Source organism: Homo sapiens, chromosome 21 (assembly GCF_000001405.40).
Source record: "Homo sapiens chromosome 21, GRCh38.p14 Primary Assembly".
Taxonomy (NCBI): domain Eukaryota; kingdom Metazoa; phylum Chordata; class Mammalia; order Primates; family Hominidae; genus Homo; species Homo sapiens.
This window is the reverse complement of record NC_000021.9, coordinates 36,103,946-36,123,658: the sequence shown is the minus strand read 5'-3', so window position 1 is coordinate 36,123,658 and position 19,713 is coordinate 36,103,946. Positions and strand designations below refer to the sequence as shown.

The 19,713-nt window shown below is 43.7% G+C and overlaps 2 long non-coding RNA genes across 2 annotated transcripts in view, besides 6 other annotated features; one reads left to right on the top strand and one right to left on the bottom strand.

Moving 5' to 3' along the window:
• Window positions 1-19,713, top strand: part of CBR1-AS1 (CBR1 antisense RNA 1) — a 56,999-nt gene that overhangs the window by 2,982 nt on the left and 34,304 nt on the right. The gene's annotated exons all lie outside the window — the stretch shown is intronic.
• Window positions 9,424-9,483: an enhancer, noted in NCBI's record as "active region_18427". NCBI's record gives its function as "activates an Ori minimal core promoter by ATAC-STARR-seq in GM12878 lymphoblastoid cells {active_cell/tissue: GM12878}" and the evidence as "EXISTENCE:reporter gene assay evidence [ECO:0000049][PMID:35858748]".
• Window positions 9,821-10,333: an enhancer, noted in NCBI's record as "H3K27ac-H3K4me1 hESC enhancer chr21:37485624-37486136 (GRCh37/hg19 assembly coordinates)". NCBI's record gives its function as "activates a minimal SCP1, AML or CMV promoter by ChIP-STARR-seq in primed H9 embryonic stem cells {active_cell/tissue: H9 hESC(primed)}" and the evidence as "EXISTENCE:reporter gene assay evidence [ECO:0000049][PMID:30033119]".
• Window positions 10,475-10,574: an enhancer, noted in NCBI's record as "active region_18426". NCBI's record gives its function as "activates an Ori minimal core promoter by ATAC-STARR-seq in GM12878 lymphoblastoid cells {active_cell/tissue: GM12878}" and the evidence as "EXISTENCE:reporter gene assay evidence [ECO:0000049][PMID:35858748]".
• Window positions 10,615-10,744: an enhancer, noted in NCBI's record as "active region_18425". NCBI's record gives its function as "activates an Ori minimal core promoter by ATAC-STARR-seq in GM12878 lymphoblastoid cells {active_cell/tissue: GM12878}" and the evidence as "EXISTENCE:reporter gene assay evidence [ECO:0000049][PMID:35858748]".
• Window positions 13,969-18,778, bottom strand: LOC105369306 (uncharacterized). Its single transcript, NR_147887.1, has 2 exons — window positions 18,536-18,778; window positions 13,969-16,061 (listed from the first exon to the last, which is right to left on the bottom strand). It is a non-coding gene; the product is annotated as an uncharacterized LOC105369306 (long non-coding RNA).
• Window positions 17,202-17,402: a silencer, noted in NCBI's record as "peak4410 fragment used in MPRA reporter construct". NCBI's record gives its function as "represses an SCP1 promoter by STARR-seq MPRAs in K562 erythroleukemia cells {active_cell/tissue: K562}" and the evidence as "EXISTENCE:reporter gene assay evidence [ECO:0000049][PMID:32103011]".
• Window positions 18,421-18,922: an enhancer, noted in NCBI's record as "H3K27ac hESC enhancer chr21:37477035-37477536 (GRCh37/hg19 assembly coordinates)". NCBI's record gives its function as "activates a minimal SCP1, AML or CMV promoter by ChIP-STARR-seq in primed H9 embryonic stem cells {active_cell/tissue: H9 hESC(primed)}" and the evidence as "EXISTENCE:reporter gene assay evidence [ECO:0000049][PMID:30033119]".

Below are 19,713 nucleotides of genomic sequence, written 5' to 3'. Positions count from 1 at the left end.
CTGTCCTCACCAAAGGATTAATATATCATGGATTAATGGGTTAATGGATTAATGGGTTATCATGGGAATGGGTTAGTTATTTTAAAACTGAGTCTGTTATAAAAGCCACTTGGCATTCTCTTGTGTACTCCTTGCCATGTGACCCTGTACCACCTTGGAACTCTGCAGAGAGTCCCCACTAGCAAGAAGGCCCTCACCAGATGCAGCTCCTTGACCTTGAACTTCCAGCCTCCAGACCGTAAGAAATGAATGTATTTTCTTTACAATTTACCCAGTCTCAGGCATTCAGTTATAGCAACAGAAAAGGGACTAAGATAGCCATCTTTATTGTTTTTGTTATCTGGTATTGCGTGTCTCTAAAGAGAATATAACTGGATTGTTAACTATTTCCTACCCTCCTTTGTTAGTGGCTTCATATTTTTTTATTATTTATTTATTTATTTATTTATTTATTTATTTATTTATTTTTTTGAGACAGGCTCCCTCTGTTGGCCAGGCTGGAATGCAGTGGCGTGATCTCGGCTCACTGCAGCTTCAACCTCTTGGGTTCAAGCTTCCTGAGCAGTTGGGACTACAGGTGTGCACCACCAAGCCTGGCTAAATTTTTGGTAGACATGGGTTCTCACTGTGTTGCTCAGGCTGGTCTCAAATTCCTGGGCTCAAACGATCCTACCCACTACAGCCTCCCAAAGTGCTGAGATTATAGGCATGAGCCACTGTGCCCAGACTTTTAGTGGGTTTTTAAAAATAGAAAGCTAATATTCATGGAACTCTTGCTCAGAGTCAGGTGCTGGTCTCCACACTTTACACTGACCTATATGTTCCACTCTAACAAGAGACTCACCCCATATCATGAGCCAAGCATGGGGGGAGGACCTTCTTGAAAGCAGACACTAAAATGTCTTGGTAGCCACACTGATTTTCTTTTCCCTTCATAGCTGTCCTGTTGCTTTTAGTTCTGTATCACCGCCTTCAGTGTGCCCAGCTGTCCACACCCCGCTATCCAGGTTCAAGAGAAGATCCCGTTGCACTCATTTTCCAGGGCCATTACACTTTTTGGGAAATAATTTTTGTGCTGTTGTCAAACAACAGTTATCCTCTGTTATTTAGCAACCCTTGTTCCTTGAACATTTTCTTCTTTAAAAAATAGTTTTATTGAGATGTAATGTGAATTAAATCCCATTTAAAGTATACAATTCAATGATTGATAGTATGTTCACAGAATTATACAACCATTACCACTATTTTGGGACATTTTCATCACCCCTAAAACAAACCCCATAGCCATTAGCAGTCATTCCCCATTTCCTTCCATGCCTTCATCCCTAGGCAGCCACTAACCTGTTTTCCATTTATATAGACTTACCAATTCTAGACATTTCAGATAAATGAAACAGTAAGATGTGGCCCTTTGTGACTGACTTTCACGTAGTGGGTTTTTTTTTTTTTTTTCTTTTTTGAGACAAGGTCTCGCTCTGTTGCTCAGGCTGGAGCCCAGTGGTGCAATCATAGCTCACTGCAGTCTTGACCTCCCTGGGCTCAAGTGATCCTCCTACCTCAGTCTTCTGTGTACGTGGGACTACAGGGGTGCACCACCATGCCCTGCTCATTTTTTGTATTTTTTTGTAGACACAAGGTTGCACCATGTTAGCCAGGCTGGTTTCAAACTCCTGGGCTCCAGTGATCTGCCCACCTCAGCCTCCCAAAGTCCTGGGATTACAGACATGAGCGACCACAACCAGCCTCTCTTAGTATGTTTCAAGGTTCATCTGTGTTGTAGATCTTACTGGCTTTTAAAGTTAACATTTAGTAAGTTTGATTCTTGATAGGATTTATAATTAATTTTTAATCATAGAAATATTCTTAAAAATATTAATTGAACATAAAGTTGATACAATAAAGGTGTAGACTTTGTGGCTTCAGGAATCAGTTTTTTTCACAATTGACTCTACATGAATATAATATTTTGTTGCTTTTTCAGAATTTTAAGTAAAACTAATATTTCCATATTGTATTTCGCTCATCTATGCTTAATCTAAAAAGGTTGAGTTGGTTTAAAGCATTCCTAAGAAGTGGCTGATGTAAGATGGATTAATTGATTCAGGGTCTCACCCTGTCACCCAGGCTGGAGTGCAGTGGCATGATCATGGCTCACTGTGGCCTCAACCTCCTGTCTCTCTCCAAGTTGCTGGGACTACAGGCATGCACCACAATACTCGGCTAGTGTTTTGTATTTTTTGTAGAGATGGGGTTTCGCCATGTTACCCAGGCTGGTCTCGATCTCCTGACCTCAAGTGATCTGCTAACCTCAGCCTCCCAAAACGCTGGGATTACAGGCATGAGCCACTGTGCCTGGCCAAGATTTATTTTTTGAAATATCAAATTTCAAAAGTTTGAAAAAAAACTGTGGAAACTCTTTAGTCCCTTAAATTCTTTATATCTAAATATAACATTATTATTATTATTTTTAGACGGAGTCTCATTCTGTCGCCCAGGCTGGAGTGAAGTGGTGTCATCTCCACTCACTGCAACCTCCCCCTCCTGGATTCAAGCAATTCTTCCGCCTCAGCTTCCCAAGTAGCTGGGACTACAGGCACCTGCCACCACGCCTGGCTAATTTTTGTATTTTTAGTAGAGATGGGGTTTCCCATGTTGGCCAGGTTGGTCTCGAACCCCTGACCTCAGGTGATCTGCCCACATCAGCCTCCCAAAGTGCTGGGATTACAGGCATGAGCCACTGTGCCCAACTAAATATAACTTTTAAAGTTAAGTCTGTATGTTAGTAACTTATTGCTACATAACAAGTTACTTCAAACTTTGTTGGCTTAAAACATTTATTTTCTCAGTTTCTGTAGATCAGGAATGAGAGTAGCTTGGCTGGGTAGTTCCGCCTCGGGGCCTCTCGTGAGCCATCTTGCTGTCAGCTGGGGCTGCGGTCATCTGGGGACAGAAAGCTGGTGGCTGGAGGCCTCAGCTCTTAGCCAAGAGGGCCTCTCCTTGGGTGGCCTCAAGACACTGCAGCTGGCTTCCTCCAGAGTGAGTGAACCAAGAGAGGGGGAAGATGAAAGCCAAACTGTCTTTTATGACCTAGTTTCTTCTACCATTCCTTCCCCATGTCTGCTGGTCACACAGAGCAAGTCTGATCCAGTGTGGGAAGGGCCTACACAGGGTCTGAAGAACAGAAGGCAGGGATCATGGGATGGTCTTGGAGGCCGGCCACCACAAGCTGGGCAGTCATCTGACTCCCTAGACTGGCAGTCAAAAAATCACTTACATTGCCCAGTAGGTAATACAGTAAAGATTAGGGAGGCGGAGCGTGGTGGCTCACACCTGTAATCCCAGCACTTTGTGAGGCTGAGGCGGGAGGATGACTTGAGGCCAGGAGTCTGAGACCATCCTGGGCATCACAGTGAGACTCCATCTTCACAAAAAATTTTAAAAATTAGCCATCTCCACAAAACATTAAAAAAATTAGCCAGGTGTGGTGGTGTGCACCTGTAGTCCTACCTACTTAGGAGGCTGAAGCAGGAGAATCCCTTGAGCCCAGGAGCTTGAGGCTGCAAGTGACCTATCATCACACTACTGCATTCTAGCCTGGGTGACAGAGTGAGACTATGTCTCTAAAAAATTTTTTTAAAATTAATATTGCCAAGCACAGTGGCTCATGTCTGTAATCCCAACACTTTGAGAGGCTGAGGCAGGCAGATAGCTTGAGCCCAGGAGTTCCAGACCAGTCTGGGCAACATGGCAAAACTCCATCTCTTTTAAAAAGACAAAAATTAGCCAGGTGCAGTGGTGCACGCCTATAGTCCCAGCTACTTGGGAGGCTGAGGTGGGAGGATCACTTGAGCCTGGCAGGTGGGGGTTGCAGTGAGCCAAGATCATGTCATACCACTGCACTCCAGCCTGGGCTATGGGAGTTAGACCCTGACTCCAAAAAAATAAAAACAGAAACAAAAAACAAGAAAGAAAATAAAAGAAAGAAGGAAAGAAAGAAAAGAATACTGCATGGATCATGTGAAAATATCTCATATGTATGTACAGATACAAATGTGTATTGAAAAAGTGTATGCTTTTAAAGCAAAAATTTAACTTTGGAAAAGTGAGTTTAGGAATTTTTTACTAGTAGCTACTAGTCAGCATTATTAATATAAATTTAATTCTAAAAAATTATAGTTACTAGAATAATATTTACGTGTACTTGAGGAATGGCTTGAGTGTTATTTTTGAAATACTGTTCAATGAGGTAGTAACATTGTGGCTAGTGAGCACTTAATGTTAATGTTACCAGCCTGAATGAGATGTTGCCATCAACAGAAACTTTCAAAGACTTAGTACAGAAAATTGTTAAGTACCTCACTAATATTTTTCACGCTGATCATACTGCAAAACACACATCATTTTCCAATGATATTTCGTGTTGGGTGAAATTAAATGTTAAAATGTTAGTTTCACATGTTTCTTTTTTACTGCAATGTGCTACTACAAAATTTGAAATGACATGTGATTGCATTTGTAGCTGAAATTCTGCTTCTTTTGGTTAGTGATGATTTGAAATGGAAAAGTTTGACTGGACTCAGAATTCATTGACAATATCACAGGACAATGTCAATTTGTGAATGAAAAGAAAAGCTATTAGATTTAAAGACTAGACTATTGCTTAGAACTATGAATTAAATAGATTAAATTATCTGAAATCTAGTTAATGGCAAGAACAGAAAATGTTTAAAAAATAGGGATAAACAGTCTCCTGTTTGTTCCCACCTACTTGAGCAAACACATTTCCCTTTTTTTTTTTTTTTTTTTTTTGAGATGGAGTCTCGTTCTGTCACCCAGGCTGGAGTGCAGTGGCGTGATCTTGGCTCACTGCAAGCTTCGCCTCCCGGGGGTTCACGCCATTCTCCTGCCTCGGCCTCCCAAGTAGCTGGGACTACAGGCACCTGCCGCCATGCTCGGCTAATTTTTTGTTATTTATAGTAGAGACGGGGTTTCACCGTGTTAGCCAGGATGGTCTCGATCTCCTGACCTTGTGATCTGCCTGCCTCAGCCTCCCAAAGTGCTGGGATTACAGGCGTGAGCCACCATGCCCGGCCTGCAAACACATTTTCTAATCAATGGTAACACTAAAAAAAAAAAAAAAAAAAAAAGGAAGCGATCATCTTTAAAAAGTTATCTTGATCAGGAATTGCATCTAGAGAGTCCTCATTATTCATGAACTCCATTTTGTGAATTCAACTACTCACTAAAATTTACTCGTAACTCCAAAATCAGTGCTCCTGGCACTTTTGCAGCTGTTTGCAGGTACGCACAGAGTGGCAAAAATTTTTATCACCTAACACGCACGTTCGCAGATGAAGTCAAACAAGGGGACACCCTGCCTTCTTGTTTTGCTCTGATATTGTAAATCAGTGTCCTTTTTGTGGTCTTAGTGCCACATTTTTCACATTTTTGTGCCTCTTGGTGGTGATTTTTTTTTTTGGTTAAGACAGAGTCTTGCTCTGTGACCCAGGCTGGAGTGCAGTGGTGCAATCTCGGCTCACTGCAACCACTGCACTCTGGGGTTCAAGCAATTCTCCTGCCTCAGCTTCCCTAGTAGCTGGGATTACAGGTGCGCACCACTACGCCCAGCTAATTTTTGTATTTTTAGTAGAGATGGGGTTTCACCATGTTGGCCAGGCTGGTGTCAAACTCCTGACCTCAAGTGATCTGCCCACCTTGGCTTCCCAAAGTGTTGGGATTATAGGTGTGAGCCACTGTGCCTGTTCAAAATGGCCCCATGCAGAATGCTGAAGTGTTGTCCAGCATTCCTTGGCACAGGAAGGCTGGGATGGGCCTTTGATAGGCTTCGATTCAGGCATGAGTTGTAGTGCTGTTGGCTGTGAGCTCAGCATGAATGAGTTAACAATACAGTCCATCCAGAAAAAGGAAGAAGACTGCCAATCTGTGATGAAGCTATGGAGAAGTGGCTACATTTGTGGATTCCTGAGATGACGACCCATTTAACAAAACCAACCAAACATAGCAGACAGCACTGTGAAGCTGAAAGCCCAAGAAACTTCCAGTCACATGATACAGGATTAGAACATTGTTAAACCCTTCTCAGCCACTGCTGGTCAGCAAGCGTGTTTCAGAAGGTGACATGGAGTGAAAAACATCAAGTTGCAGGTGAGGCATGTTCTGCAGATCTGGAAGAATTTTTAAAATACCTGCTGAGTGATATTTTAAAAGAGTCCTGTGGAAGAACAGGTTTTCAATGCTAATGAAACTGGTTTGTTATGCAAGGAAGTTGGCAAATGAACCTGTACCACAAGTGGCATTTCAGTTTATAAAAATGTGGCCAGAGGCTCATAGGAACTTAACCCTGTATTTCCACTAGGAACAATAATTTAGTATTAACAGATTCAGTGTTTGCAATGACTTTATAGAACATAACTGTGGTGAATAATGAGAATCAGCTATTTCAGGCATAAAGCCTGATATTTAAAATATTAAATAATATAAAGCCTGATATTATAAATAAAAAAAATCAACTTCTTCAAAAAAATTAAAGACTTAGAAGTTTTGTATAGGCCAGGTATGGTAGCTCATGCTTGTAATCCCAACACTTTGGGAAGTTGAAGTAGGAGGATTGCTTGAACCCAGGAGTTTGAGACCAGTCTGGGCAGTAATAAGAGACTCTAACTCTAAAAAAATAAAATAAAATTACATGGGCGTGGTGGTGCACACCTGTAGTCCTAGCTACTTGAGAGGCTGAGGTGGGAGGATCCCTTGAGCCCTAGAGTTTGAGGGTGCAATGAGCTAGGATCACGCCACTGTACTCCAGCCTGGGTGACAGAGTGGGACCCTCAGTTAAAAAAAAGTTTTATATAAATTCAATGTCAATATCTTCTCCTGTATGTGTGTTTGTGTGTTTAATAACTGTATGTCGGGTGTGGTGGCTTACACTTGTAATCCTAGCACTTTGGGAGGCCGAGGCAGGTGGATTGCTTCAGTCTAGGAGTTTGAGACCAGCCTGGGTAACATGGTGAAACCCTGACTCTACCAAAAGAATACAAAAATTAGCCAAGTGTGGTAGTGCTTGCCTATGGTCCCAGCTACTTGGGAGGCTGAGGCAGGAGGATAGCTTGAGCCCAGGAGGTGGAGGCTGCAGTGAGCTGAGATCATTTCACTGCACTCCAGCCTTGGTGACAGAGAGAAAGCCTGTCTGAAAAAACTAACAAAACTATATAATATAAAGAATATAGGCCAGTCATGGTGGCTCACGCTTGTAATCCCAGCACTTTGGAAGGCTGAGGTGAGAAGATCGCTTGAGCCTAGGAGTTCCAGACCAGCCTGGGTAACATGTAAGACCTCGTCTCTACTAAAAATAAAAAATTAGCCAGGTGTGGTGGTGTGCACCAATGGTCCCAGGTACTTGGGAGGCTGAAGCTGCAGTGAGCCGTGATCATGCCACTGCATTCCAGCCTGGGCAATAGAATGAGAACTTGTCTCATTTAAAAAAAAAAAAGAAAGAAAAAGAAAGTATTATTAGTAACATTTTCCATCAAGGTCCAAGGTAAATGACCTCAGTACCTTCAATTCACTTCAGTGTGTTATATAAATATTAATATATTTGTGTGTGCTATGAGATGAGAATAATTGGGAAGTATGACATTACAGACTTATTTGTAACTTATTTATATGTCTCAAATAGCCCCGTGACCATCCTTAATAGAACGATTAAATACTCATATGATGAGATGCTATGCAGCCATTAAAAAGAATGAGGCAGCTCTAAATATTGTAAAAGGGAAGAGGCTTCAAAATGTATTAAGTGAGGAAAGGAGGTGGGACACGGTGGCCCATGCCTCTAATCCTAGAACTTTGGGAGCCTGAGGTGGGAGGATTGCTTAAGGCCAGAAGTTTAAGACCAGCCTTGGCAACATAGACCCCATCTCTACAAAAAATTTTTAAAAATTAGCTGAGGGTGGTGGTGCATATCTGTGGTCCCAGCTACTCCCGGGGCTGAGGCAGGAGGGTCGCTTGAGCCACAGAGTTTAAGGCTGCTGTAAGCCATTATTGCACCACTGCACTCAGTCTGGGCAACAAAGCAAGACCTTATCTTGAAAAAAAAAAAAAAAGAAGAAGAAGATGATGCTGGGTGCAGTGGAGGCTGAGGTGGGTGGATCACTTGAGGTCAGGAGTTCCGGACCAGCCTGGCCAATGTGGTGAAACCATGTCTCTACTAAAAATACAAAAAAAAAAAAAAAAAAAAAAAAAATCCAGGTGTGGTGCTGTGCATCTGTAATCCTAGCTACTTGGGAGTCTGAGGCAGGAGAATTGCTTGAACAGGTTGAACAGGGGAGGCAGAGATTGCAGTGAGCCGAGATCACGTCACTGCACTCCAGCCTGGGTGACAGAGTGAGTCTCCGTCAAAAAAAAAAAAAAAAAGGAAAGGAAGAAAGAAGGAAAGAAAAGGGTACTAGTGTATTTATTAGTTTTCTATTGTTGCTGTAGCAAATGTTCTCAAATTTAGGGGCTTAAGACACAAACTTATTACCTTCTGATTTTGGGGTAGGAAGTCTGACACAGGCCTCACCTGCCTGGGATCAAGGCGCCAGCAGGGCTGCACGCCTTTCCAGGGGGCTAAGGAGAGAATCAGTGTTTTTGTCACCTGCATTACGTGGCTTCCTCCATCTTCAGTACCAGCAACTTTGCGTCTCTCTAACCCCAAAGTCACATCTTCTTCTGACTACAGCCTGGGAAGGTTCTCAGCTTTAAGGATTTGTTTGATTACATAGGGCCCACCTGGATAATCTGCCTTCTCAAGGCCTTTAACTTGAATCAGCTGCCCCGTCCCTATTGCCGTATCACATATTTACTGATCCCAGGCATTAGGACACGGACACCTTGGTGAGGAGGCTTTATTCCGGCTACCGTGGTATGCTATTATTTGTATCAAAGTATTTGCTTACTTAGACTGTCTCTGGAAGGGGACATGGGAAGCTGGTAACAGCAGTTGCTTCTGGGGAGGACTGGGTAGCTGGGGGATGTGGAGGCTGACTTCCCACTGTATCTAGCTTTCGTTCATTTGGGTTTTTAATCAGTGTGCATATATTTACTTGAAAAAGTGAAGAATTGGCCAGGCACGGTGGCTCATGCCTGTAATCCCAGCACTTTGGGAGGCTGAGGTGGGTGGATCACTTGAGGCTGGGCGTTTGAGATCAGCCTGGCCAACATGGCAAAGCCCCATCTCTACAAAAAGTTGGCCAGGTGTGGTGGCACATGCCTGTCATCCCAGCTACTCAGGAGGGTGAGGCAGGAGAACTGCTTGAACCCCGGAGGTGGAGGTTGCAGTGAGCCAAGATTGCACAATTGCACTCCAGCCTGGGTGACAGAGGGAGACTCCATCTCAAAAAAAAAAAAAAAAAAAAGTAAAAGTGAAAGTTTACAGCTCTTAAGCTACATGGTGGTGGTTCATTGATGTGGTGTGTTTGCTTTCTTGCTAGTAGTGGAAGTTATCTGAGAGACCGGCAGCGAATCTGTACAGGTCTGCAGCAGCCTCAACTCTTCCTTCCTCAGAAGAAAAAAATAGATTGTCATAAGGCAGGAAAAGAGACCGAGGCAAGTTTTACAGCGGAGTGGAAATTGATGAAAAAGATTTAGAGCAGGAATGAAAGAAAGGAAAGTACACTTGGAAGAGGCTTAAGGGGGCACCTTGGAGGTCAAGTGCTCCGTTTGACCTTGGACCTAGGATTTTACATGCTGCCCTGCTTCCGGCGTCTTGCACCCCTTTCCCTTCATTCTTCCCTTAGGGTGAGCCACCCGCATGCGCAGTGACCTGATTGTGCTTGGGAGGCAAGCATGTTTACCGGAGTTACGTGTGTTTACTGGAGCTGCAGGCATGCTCACCTGAGTCGTTCTTCCCGTTTCCGGTGGAATGACCCCCTAGAAGGTTACCCCCCGCCATTTTGCCTCTGCGTGTGTGTGTGTGTGTGTGTGTGGGGGGGGGGGGGGGGTTGTTTTTTGTTTTTTGTTTTTTTTTGAGTCAGAGTTTCACTGTTAGTTGCCCAGGCTGGAGTGCAATGGTGCAATCTCGGCTCACTGCAACCTCTGCCTCCCAGGTTCAAGTGATTCTCCTGCCTCAGCCTCCTGAGTAGCTGGGACTACAGGCGCACGCCACCATGGCCGGCTCATTTTGGTACTTTTAGTAGAGATGGGGTTTTCACCATGTTGGCCAGGCTGGTCTCTAACTCCTCACCTCGTGATCCGTCTGCCTTGGTCTCCCAAAGTGTTGGGATTACAGGCATGAGCCACTGTGCCCGGCCGCCAGTGAAGTTTTTTTTAAGATGCTTAGTACTGTATTCCAGATACCCGAGAATGTTACAGTAGGTAGCTAGTGGGGCATGAGCAGGGCAGGAGACAGCTCCCCCCACACACCAGAAATGTCAGGCGACCATCACGTGATGGGCCGGAGGTTGTCATCCTGCCTCGCTAAAATGATAATTGGTTGCAGCTGGCACCAGGGAGCGGCCGTTTCCCAGTAGATAGAAACAACTGAAATTGGTAGTCCGCAGTTGCGCTCCAGCCTGGGCAACAAGAGCAAAACTCTGTCTCACACAGAAAAACAACCCCAAAACAACAGCAAAAAAAACCCACGAAAAAAAACCACCGGCTTCCAACCTCTACTGCCAACCACCATGACAGTCACTAGATGGCGCCCTTTCACTCTTTCTGGTACCGCTGGTCACAGGGCTTTCTCCTTGCCTGTGCCGTTCATGTTGAACCCAGCAAGTATGGGTGATAGGCAGGCTTCACTGATTTCTGTACACATGTGAAGGCTGTTTCCTCCTCTGTAAAATGAGGGTTATAATAGTACCAGCTCATTATGAGCTGTACTAAGACTAAACGAGAGTGTACATAAACGTCTCTAAAAAGAGCATACCTAGTAAATAATCATTGACTAATGTTAACTATGGACATTAATGTCTACCTTCCTGGTTAGAAAGTTTTCCCAGGCCTCTCTTCTTCCTATGAAAGGGCAACTCGACCCAACCTTAGGGGACCCTTTCCTAACACTATCTTAATTCTGTCCCAGCCTATCAGTCCTTAGATGCCGCAAACATTTGTTTCAGGTAAGCAACAACTGCATTTTGTCTGTTTAGCTTTGTAGGCAATATTTAAATTCCAGATCTACATTCTGATTTTCCCAAATGGGGCCAACTCCAAAAAAAAAACAAAGTTTGTACCAAATGAAGTTAAGTTACATGATAAATCTATGGCTCTTGTGAACAGATCTCAAAGCAATTGCCTTCAGGTTACGATGGGATTTGTAAACTTTTTTTTTTTTTTTTTGAGACAGAGTTTCACTCTTGTTGCCCAGGCTGAAGTGCAATGGCACTATCTCAACTCACTGCAACCTCTGCCTCGTGGGTTCAGGTGATTCTCCTGTTTCAGCCTCCCGAGTAGCTGGGATTACAGGCGCCTACCACCACACCCAGCTAATGTTTTGTATTTTTAGGAGAGTTGGGGTTTCAACATGTTGGCCAGGTTGGTGTCGAACTCCTGACCTCAAGTGATCCACCTGCCTCGGCCTCCCAAAGTGCTGGGATTACAGGTGTGAGCCACTGCACCCGGCCAGTAAACCCATTTTTGATGGAACGCAGGCTAGCATCACATTAGAAATGCTACCCCACCCTGTCCTATGGGACATTTGTCATTTTGGGGCTTTGGTCCTCATTGATCCTTATTCAAGGATGTATCCTTCCTTCCTTCCTTTCCTTCTTCCCTTCTCCTTCCTTCCTTCCTTCCTCCCTTCACTTTCCTCCCTTCCTCCCTTCACTTGCCCCCTCCCTCCCTCCCTCCCTTCCTCCCTTCCTTCCTTCCATCCTCCCTCCCTCCTCCCTCCCTCCCTCCCTCCCTGCCTTCACTTTCCTCCCTCCTTCCCTCCCTCCCTGAATTCTTGCCTCCTCAGAAGAATTTGACTGAGGGGCATAAGGCAGAATAAGAGACCAAGGCAAGTATCAGAGCAGAAGCTAAAGATTATTAAAAAGCTTTAGAACGGGAATGAAAGAAAGGAAAGTACACTTGGAGGAGGCCCAGCTGGGCAAGTTGAAGGACAAGTGCCCCACTTGACCTTGGATTTAGGGATTTAGGTGCTGGCATACTTCCAACATCTGGTGCCTCTTCCCCTCATTCTTCCCTTAGGGCGAGGGTGATCTGCGTGCATGCGCGGTGGCCTGCTAGGCTCGGGAGGTGAGCATGCGCAGTGTGTTTGCTAGAGTTGTATGCATGCTCACCTGAGGTAGGTGTTCTTCCCTTTTCTGGTGGAATGTACCTGGAAGGTCATATGCCAGTTAAACTCTGCTATTTTGCCTCTTAATGCACATGATTGAGCCCACTCACCCAATTCCTGAGATCTTATCGGGAAGCTGCCAATCACCAGTTTCAGGTGTTTTTTTAATCTGTTGGGAAACTGTCTTTCCCTGGTGCTGGCTCAGACCAGTTATTATTTTAGAGAGGCAGTGGGACAACTGCTGGACCATCACCTGACATTCCTGGTGGGGTGTGGGGGCCTTCTCCTGCCCTGTTCATGTCTGACTACTACCCTCTGTAACATTACCTGGCATAGATTCCAGCTAAATATGAGTTCCTTTCTGGTAACGACCAAAATGAGTGATTGAGGCACTAAGAAGAAGAGGGCAGGAATCGCCATGTTTGGGTGGACCCAGTTTCTAATGGCCTGCAATTGCATATCAAAGGTTGCCGGCCTGGCTCTAAGAGCCTGTGCTTTCCTGCTAGACAAGAAACATTTATGCAGCTGCTTTAAAAGAAAGAAACAAAAACTTCCCAAGGACCCCTTTTCCTCTCTATCTGCCTAAAATAATTTCTTAATAACTCCTATAACATTCCCCCCTGTGGAGATGTCACCCTAACTGCTGTTAGGAGGTTTTGGCTGATGACTCTTTCTGGCTGCTTCCTGCTGAAAAGGGGCGTTGAATGGGGAACAGCAGCGAGGGCTCCTTGTGGGGTCAACCTAAAGGTCCTCAGAAGAAAGGCCTGTCCATGAGTGGCTCAGTTTGCGGGACCATTTGGAGTTTGATCGCTTCTAGGTGAGAGGAAACAATTCAAGTTATAGTATTGAGTATACAGGGTCCAATTATTAATACAAGACATAACAGCAAGAGGGTGCTTATTAAAGGGGTTAACCAATTCCATAAAGAAGACTGGAATTCATTAAAGAGGGATTGTAGCCACCTGGGGCTGAAGTCTGCATTTTCCCTGAGCTTGTCAGTAATTTTGACTTTATCGTTAAGCCCTTGTAGATTTTGTTATAAATAAAGTTTCGGTGCCGCAAAAGACATAGCACTCGAATATAAAATTTTCTTTTTAATTCTCAGCAAGGCAATGTACTTCTATAGAAGGGTGCGCCCTTATAGATGGAGCAATGGCGAGCGCACACTTGGACAAGGGAGAAGGGGTTCTTATCCCTGATGCACGTGGCCTCTGCTGCTGTGTTGTTCCCCTATTGGTTAGGGTTAGACCGCACAGGCTAAACTAATGCCAATTGGTTAATTTAAAGAGAGTGACAGGGTGAGTGATTTGGCGGGAAAAATTGTTATGGCAGAGCAGGAAATCAGAATTCAGGGCAGAGCAGGTAATCGGAATGAGTCAGGATGGAGCAGGTAATCGAAAATGTTTGCGTTACGAGGAAGTTTACAAGTAAAAGGCAAAGAATGGAACATACTGACATATTGATTCTTTGAAGAGAAATTTAGAACTCATATCTAACAATCTCTCCTCTTGCATTTCCTTACAGCTCTTTCCCTTCAAACTTCTTTAACATGTCTTGGCTTAGTTGTTCTGCTTGATTTTCCAAAAGAAGAAGCTTCTCTGGATAAGGTGGAGGATAGTTAAGGGAGGTTTTAGTAAGTGCCGTTTTTATAAACCTCTGCACCAACGCAGACAAAACTCCTCAGACACTGGATTAAAGAAGGAAGAGGTTTACTTGGCTGAGAGCATCGGCAGACTTGCATCTTAAGAGCTGAGCTCCCTGCAAACTGAATTCTTGGCCTTTTTAAAGGCTTACAACTCTAAAGGGGTCCACATGAAAAGGTCGTGATAAATCCAGCAAGCGTGGGGAACGTGACTGGAGGCTACATGCATCAGCTAACAGAACAGAAAGTTTTGCAATGCTTTTTCATACAATGTCTGGAATTTACAGATAACACAAGTAGTTTAGGTCTGGGGTTGATGTTATTATTATTACCTTTTTAACTCCTAGGGCCAGGTGGTGGTGCCAAGGTTGTCTGGCTATTTATCTTACTTTTGCTTCTTTCCAGCTTTTTGCTTTCTCTCTTTCCTCCTGTCTTGTGAACTAGGCAAGGTGGTGGGAGGAGGGCAGCAGGAGTTGTAGCGGTCTCCTTCCTTAGTGTGACACAACACCCGACAAGAATAAGCACACCTATGATGGCTGCGATGGAAGTAAGAATTGGGGCTACTATTCTTTTCCATTTACTGAACCACTTTTCCAGCCATCCTGTAAAGGGGTCATTTACCCCCGAGTTATTGGCTAACTCAGGATAGAGCAGTCAGACCTTGCAATGCCTTTGTTATACTTCCATTAGGGGCGGTGTTGTTTGGGATGAAGTTACAACATTGATTTTTAATTATGATGCAAATTCTTCCTTTTTCTGCTAATATCATGTCTAAGGCTATCCTATTTTTCCCAAGCCATCTGGCTAGTAGCCCCTAATTGCTCAGCTATTCCTTTAACAGCATCTCTAGTGTAGTTAATGGATGGCTGTTGGTTGTAATAGATGTAGTTTATCCAATTTACATTTTATTGTCACCCACCAAAATATTGACTCAAATCCTGCAGCTATTTGATTTCAGGCTTTAAATTGATCTGGTATTCCCTGTGGGACTGTAATTATGTCTAAATAGATGTGAGAGTCAAAAGACCCATAAGGGGCTTCTTTTGCTTTATGATATCTTATTTTTCCTTTCTCTGGTTGATGAAATGCCAGCGTGAAAGGGATAGCCAACTGGACTAAAGCAAGTGCCACTTCAGTTACTCGGCAGAGTGTCCAGTAAAGGTCCATCATAATACCACTACACATCTGCTCAGGGATGAGTAAGGGCTAATTGGTAAGCTCTTGAAATTTCTTAATCTCACTGCATCCCTTCAGGACTCCAAGGAACGCTAAGTTTCCTCCCGGTCCTGAGAGACACGAAGTGAACTTAGTGTTGGGAGATGGAAGCTGGATGGCCCTTGGGGGCTGACCCGCAGGGTGTTGAACTTCGGGATGTAGCAGAGAGAGAGCTTGGCACGACTTGTTACCCCAGGCTGAATAATCCTGGGAAAGATCTGCCATGCAGGCCATGCCCAGTCAACTAGAGGGCCACCCTAGTGGAAAGGGGACAATCTGGGCTTCTGGCCTGTCATGTGCACAAGCATAAAAATTGCCTTTGTTTAACGTGTGGACAGAATATTTAATCAATTTTAACCAGGCATTTACATTTTTATACCCTGTTTTAATGGCTATGGTTTGCCTTAGGTCTCCTATTTCTACTACCGGGACCTTGCTTTTGTCATTTGGCATGAGGTGAGTCATAGTTTGATTTTGTAGGTTTGGGAAAGGGGCAGCCATAGGAGGTGGAGGAGGGAGAACAAAGCCCACCTTAAAGAAGCCCATAGGATCCTTTCCAGTGACCTCTGCTCCTAAACCACAGAAGCGTTCTAAAGTGGGGTTAGAGTTGCTAGTGGTAGGAATAGTAATGGATATAAGCACTGGGTAAGGAAGGGAAAGGAAAAGATAGATAGACTAAGCTTTCCTTAGCTTTAATTTGGTAGGGCTTGATCCAGGAACAATGGCCCATGATTCTGAGGATAATGGTGCTTGCTTGACTCATGTGTGATGTGTCCATCTCTTTCCAACCTTACGAACAGCAGTCTCAGTGGTTAGCAGCACAAGGTAGGGTCCTTCCCGGGCTGGCTCGAGTTTCCCTTCTTTCCCCTCTTTGATGAGAACGTGATCCCCAGGCTGATGCTGAGGCACTGGAAAGTCCAAAGGCAGCACCTGTGCTAAAAGACCTCTGTTTTAAGGGAAGAGAAGGTGGAGGATAAACCGAGTATATAATTTCTAAGAAATTGATCTTTTGTTTTAAACGTGGGGATATCAACAGTGGACTTTATAGTCCTTCATGCTTTCTTGTTGAGAAATTTTCTTTGGCACCTATTTTTATTAGTTTTTAGACCAAAGAAGGCCAAACACCATTTTGTATTTGACAATGCTTCCTGTATGATTTTTATACCAGATAAGCTAAATTTCATCTTTATATTAGTGTGTTATTAATGTTAAACTTAATTTTAGTAAAACCTTGTAGACATATTTATCCAATTTTTAATGTCTGATCATAATGTAAGATTTTTACAGACTCTTTTTAACCTTTTTATAATTTTTGTTAAAGAGCAGGTTAGTGCTTTAAGAAAAACCTGTTGTGCTTTTATTTTAATGTCCAGTTCACAGAAAAACTGGATGATACCCCTTTAACTTCAGCCAGTATGATTACACACAGAATTTCCTTTACAATTAACATTTCAAAACTTGCTTAAACCTTTAAAACAAAATGTATTTTTTTAACCTTTTAATGTAGGTAAAAATCCACATTCTTATGCCTCCTTGTAATCCTTTTACCAAAAGTATATTCTACTTTCCTTACATACCTTGCACACAAACTCTTTCTTCAATAGTTTTACATTCAGGAGGCCTAATTACTTTTAAATTATACATTTCTTGCATAAATTCCCTTTTATAACATTTTTTCACGACTTTCACAGACAATTCTTCAACATGCCTCAACTTTCTAACTTGTTGCCAACATCCCTTTCTTTAAACAACCAGTTAATTTACTTTAAGAATTTACCATAACATTCCTTTTTACATAAATTCTACCCCCCCCCCTTTTTTTTCTCAAATATGATAACCATTCTTTTCCCAAGTGAACTTCATGTCTGTGTCTAAGGCCACAAGATTAGAAGTTAGGATAATACATGTTACACTGTTAACTTTTAGCAAACTTTGCTTTTGTTGAAAACCTTGTATGTTTGGGATTTCAATTATTCTTTGCTATTAATAAGACCTCGTTCAGTCCCTGTTAACTTAGAATTTGTATAGATGGCTCCTTCCTGATTCTGTAAGTACTTTAAGGCTTGGCTGAGTGCAAACAGCTCCCACGTTTGAGCAGACCAACTACTGGGCAATTTTCCTAACTCTGCTTCTACAAGAGTTTCCTTATCACTTACTGAATATCCATCGTGTCTTTTTCCCTCAGTCACCTGGGAGGAACCATCTATCATCCTGTCCTGAAGGGAGTTCCTCCTAGGTGTGATCTGAACTTTCTATGGTAATTAAGATTTAGATCCCCTGTTAGGAAACCTGCTGGGTTAAGGGAATTTTCAGTGGCTAGTGTTAAATCATCTTTTTCTAATAGAATAGCCCCAAAAATCACAAAACTTACTAACTTACTAAAATCTCAAAACTTTAAGATTTTTGAGTTAGTAAGCTACCTTTATGCTTTTTTGACTTAGGTAGTTCTGAACTGGTGAGGTGTGCTCACAATGAGGTTTCCTTTAAAAGTTATTTTTCTACTTTCTTCTGTTAGCAAAGCAGTTGCCACTACAGATTGAATGCATATGGGCCATCCGTGGGTTACTGGGTTAAGGATTTTTGATAGGAAGGCTACGGGTTGTCAGTGGCCTCAGTGCTTTTGGGCTATGCCCTTGTTAACACTGGCAACAAGGTGGTATTGGAGTGTTATAGGGTCATGGAGAAGACCTTCAATCATTAATTACAGGTTTTAAATTTACCCTGGCTTTTAAAGGAATAGGTTACACTGTTTTCTCTTTACTACTTCTCTCTCTCTCTCTGACTCTGTCTCTCAATTTCTCTCTCTTTGACTCCCTTTTTGTCTCTCTGTCTCTTTCTCTCTCTCTCTCTCTGCCTCTTTCTCTCTCTCTCTGCCTCTCTTTCTCTCTCTCTCTGCCTCTCTTTCTCTCTCTCTCTCTCTGTCTCTCTCTTTGACTCTCTCTTTCTCTGCCTCTGCCAGCCGCTTATGCCGCTGTTCTCCCCTCTCCTTCCCCTTTCCCTAGGGGAGGGACCGGCAGGAGTGGAGTTACTCTTTCTTCCCCTGAGAAGAAAGGCAAGGGGAGTCCTGAATATTTTTCTTGCTACTGGAGGTTTGTGTGAGGTTCATGAAACTTGCAGAAGACTCAACCCCTCAAACCAGGGGTGTCTCGCTTTGCCTGCCCTGGAAGGCTCAATCCCTTAAATCAGGGATGTCTTACCTTGCTGCTCTGGGAGGTTGACCTGTTTCCTCCCTTTCCCCCTCTCAAGGTCCCTTGCACACTTCCCACTTGTGTTGCCCTCTCTGGCTGCTCCCCCAAGGGAGAATTAGGCCCCTCTTAGTGTCGGTGTGCCAGTATAAATCCCACGGCAGGATCCGCCCTAAGCCATATGAGGTAGCTACGGAACTGCGGAGAGGTCCCACTCACTCTGTCCAGCAGTAGGTCTTGTCACCATCCACATGAACAACACCGCAGGTAGGGTTATTTGTGATCATTCATGCACACACACATTTAGCCCTCCGGAATTTGACCACCAAGGGAGTACTTTACTGGCTCCGGCGGCTTCTCCTTCCTTGGTCTGTGCACAGAGTCATCGCCGCAGATGTGAGGATCCTTTAAGCTAGGTTGCTGGCCAGTTTCTTTCAGCGTTGCAGAGAGCTCCGGTTATTCCTCGCACTGGGTGGTCCTGATTTCTCACCCCTGAGGCCACCACAAGGGGGCGGGGTGCGCCTCCTCAGGAGAGAGAACCGGAGACCGCCCCTGGGGGAAATGTAATCAAGGGTGAGCCCTGAAATTGTTATAAAGTTTCGGTGCCGCAAAAGAAATAGCACTCAAATATAAAATTTTCTTTTTAATTCTCTGCAAGGCCATGTTCTTCTATAAAAGGGTGCGCCCTGACAGATGGAGCGATGGTGAGCGCACACTTGGACAAAGGAGGGGAAGGGGTCCTTATCCCTGATGCACGTGGCCCCTGATGCTGTGTCATTTCCCTATTGGCTAGGGTTAGATCGCACAAACTAAACTAATTCCAATTGGCTAATTTAAAGAGAGTGACGGGGTGAGCGGTTTGGCAGGAAAAATGGTTATGGCAGAGTGAGAAATCGGAATGAGTCAGGGTGGAGAATGAGTCAGGGAGAAGCAGGTAATCAGAATGAGTCCGGGTGGAGCAGGTAATGGAAAAAGGTTGCTTTATGAGGAAGTTAAGTTTATAAGTAGAAGGCAAAGAATTGAACATACTGACATATTGATTCTTTGAAGAGAAATTTAGAACTCATATCTAACAATTTTCCTCTACTTTACTAGAGGTGTTAACCTAAGATATAGAATTTCCTTTTGGGGAGGTCTATGAAGTTCCTTGGTTTTATTTTCCCAAACAAAGAAACCTCTGGGTTATGGGCACCCTACTCACTTTCATTACCTGGCAGAATTTGCAGGAGAATTGTCCAGAACTAGCATATTGATCCAGGTTTTTATGTTAACCATCCCCCTTTGATTCTTCCAAGCTGCAGGAGATCACCACTTGATTCACAGGAATAAGCAGGGTTAGTCTAAAATGTAGGCGAAAAGCTTAAAAACAATTAATGAGACTAGGATTTAATGACAAA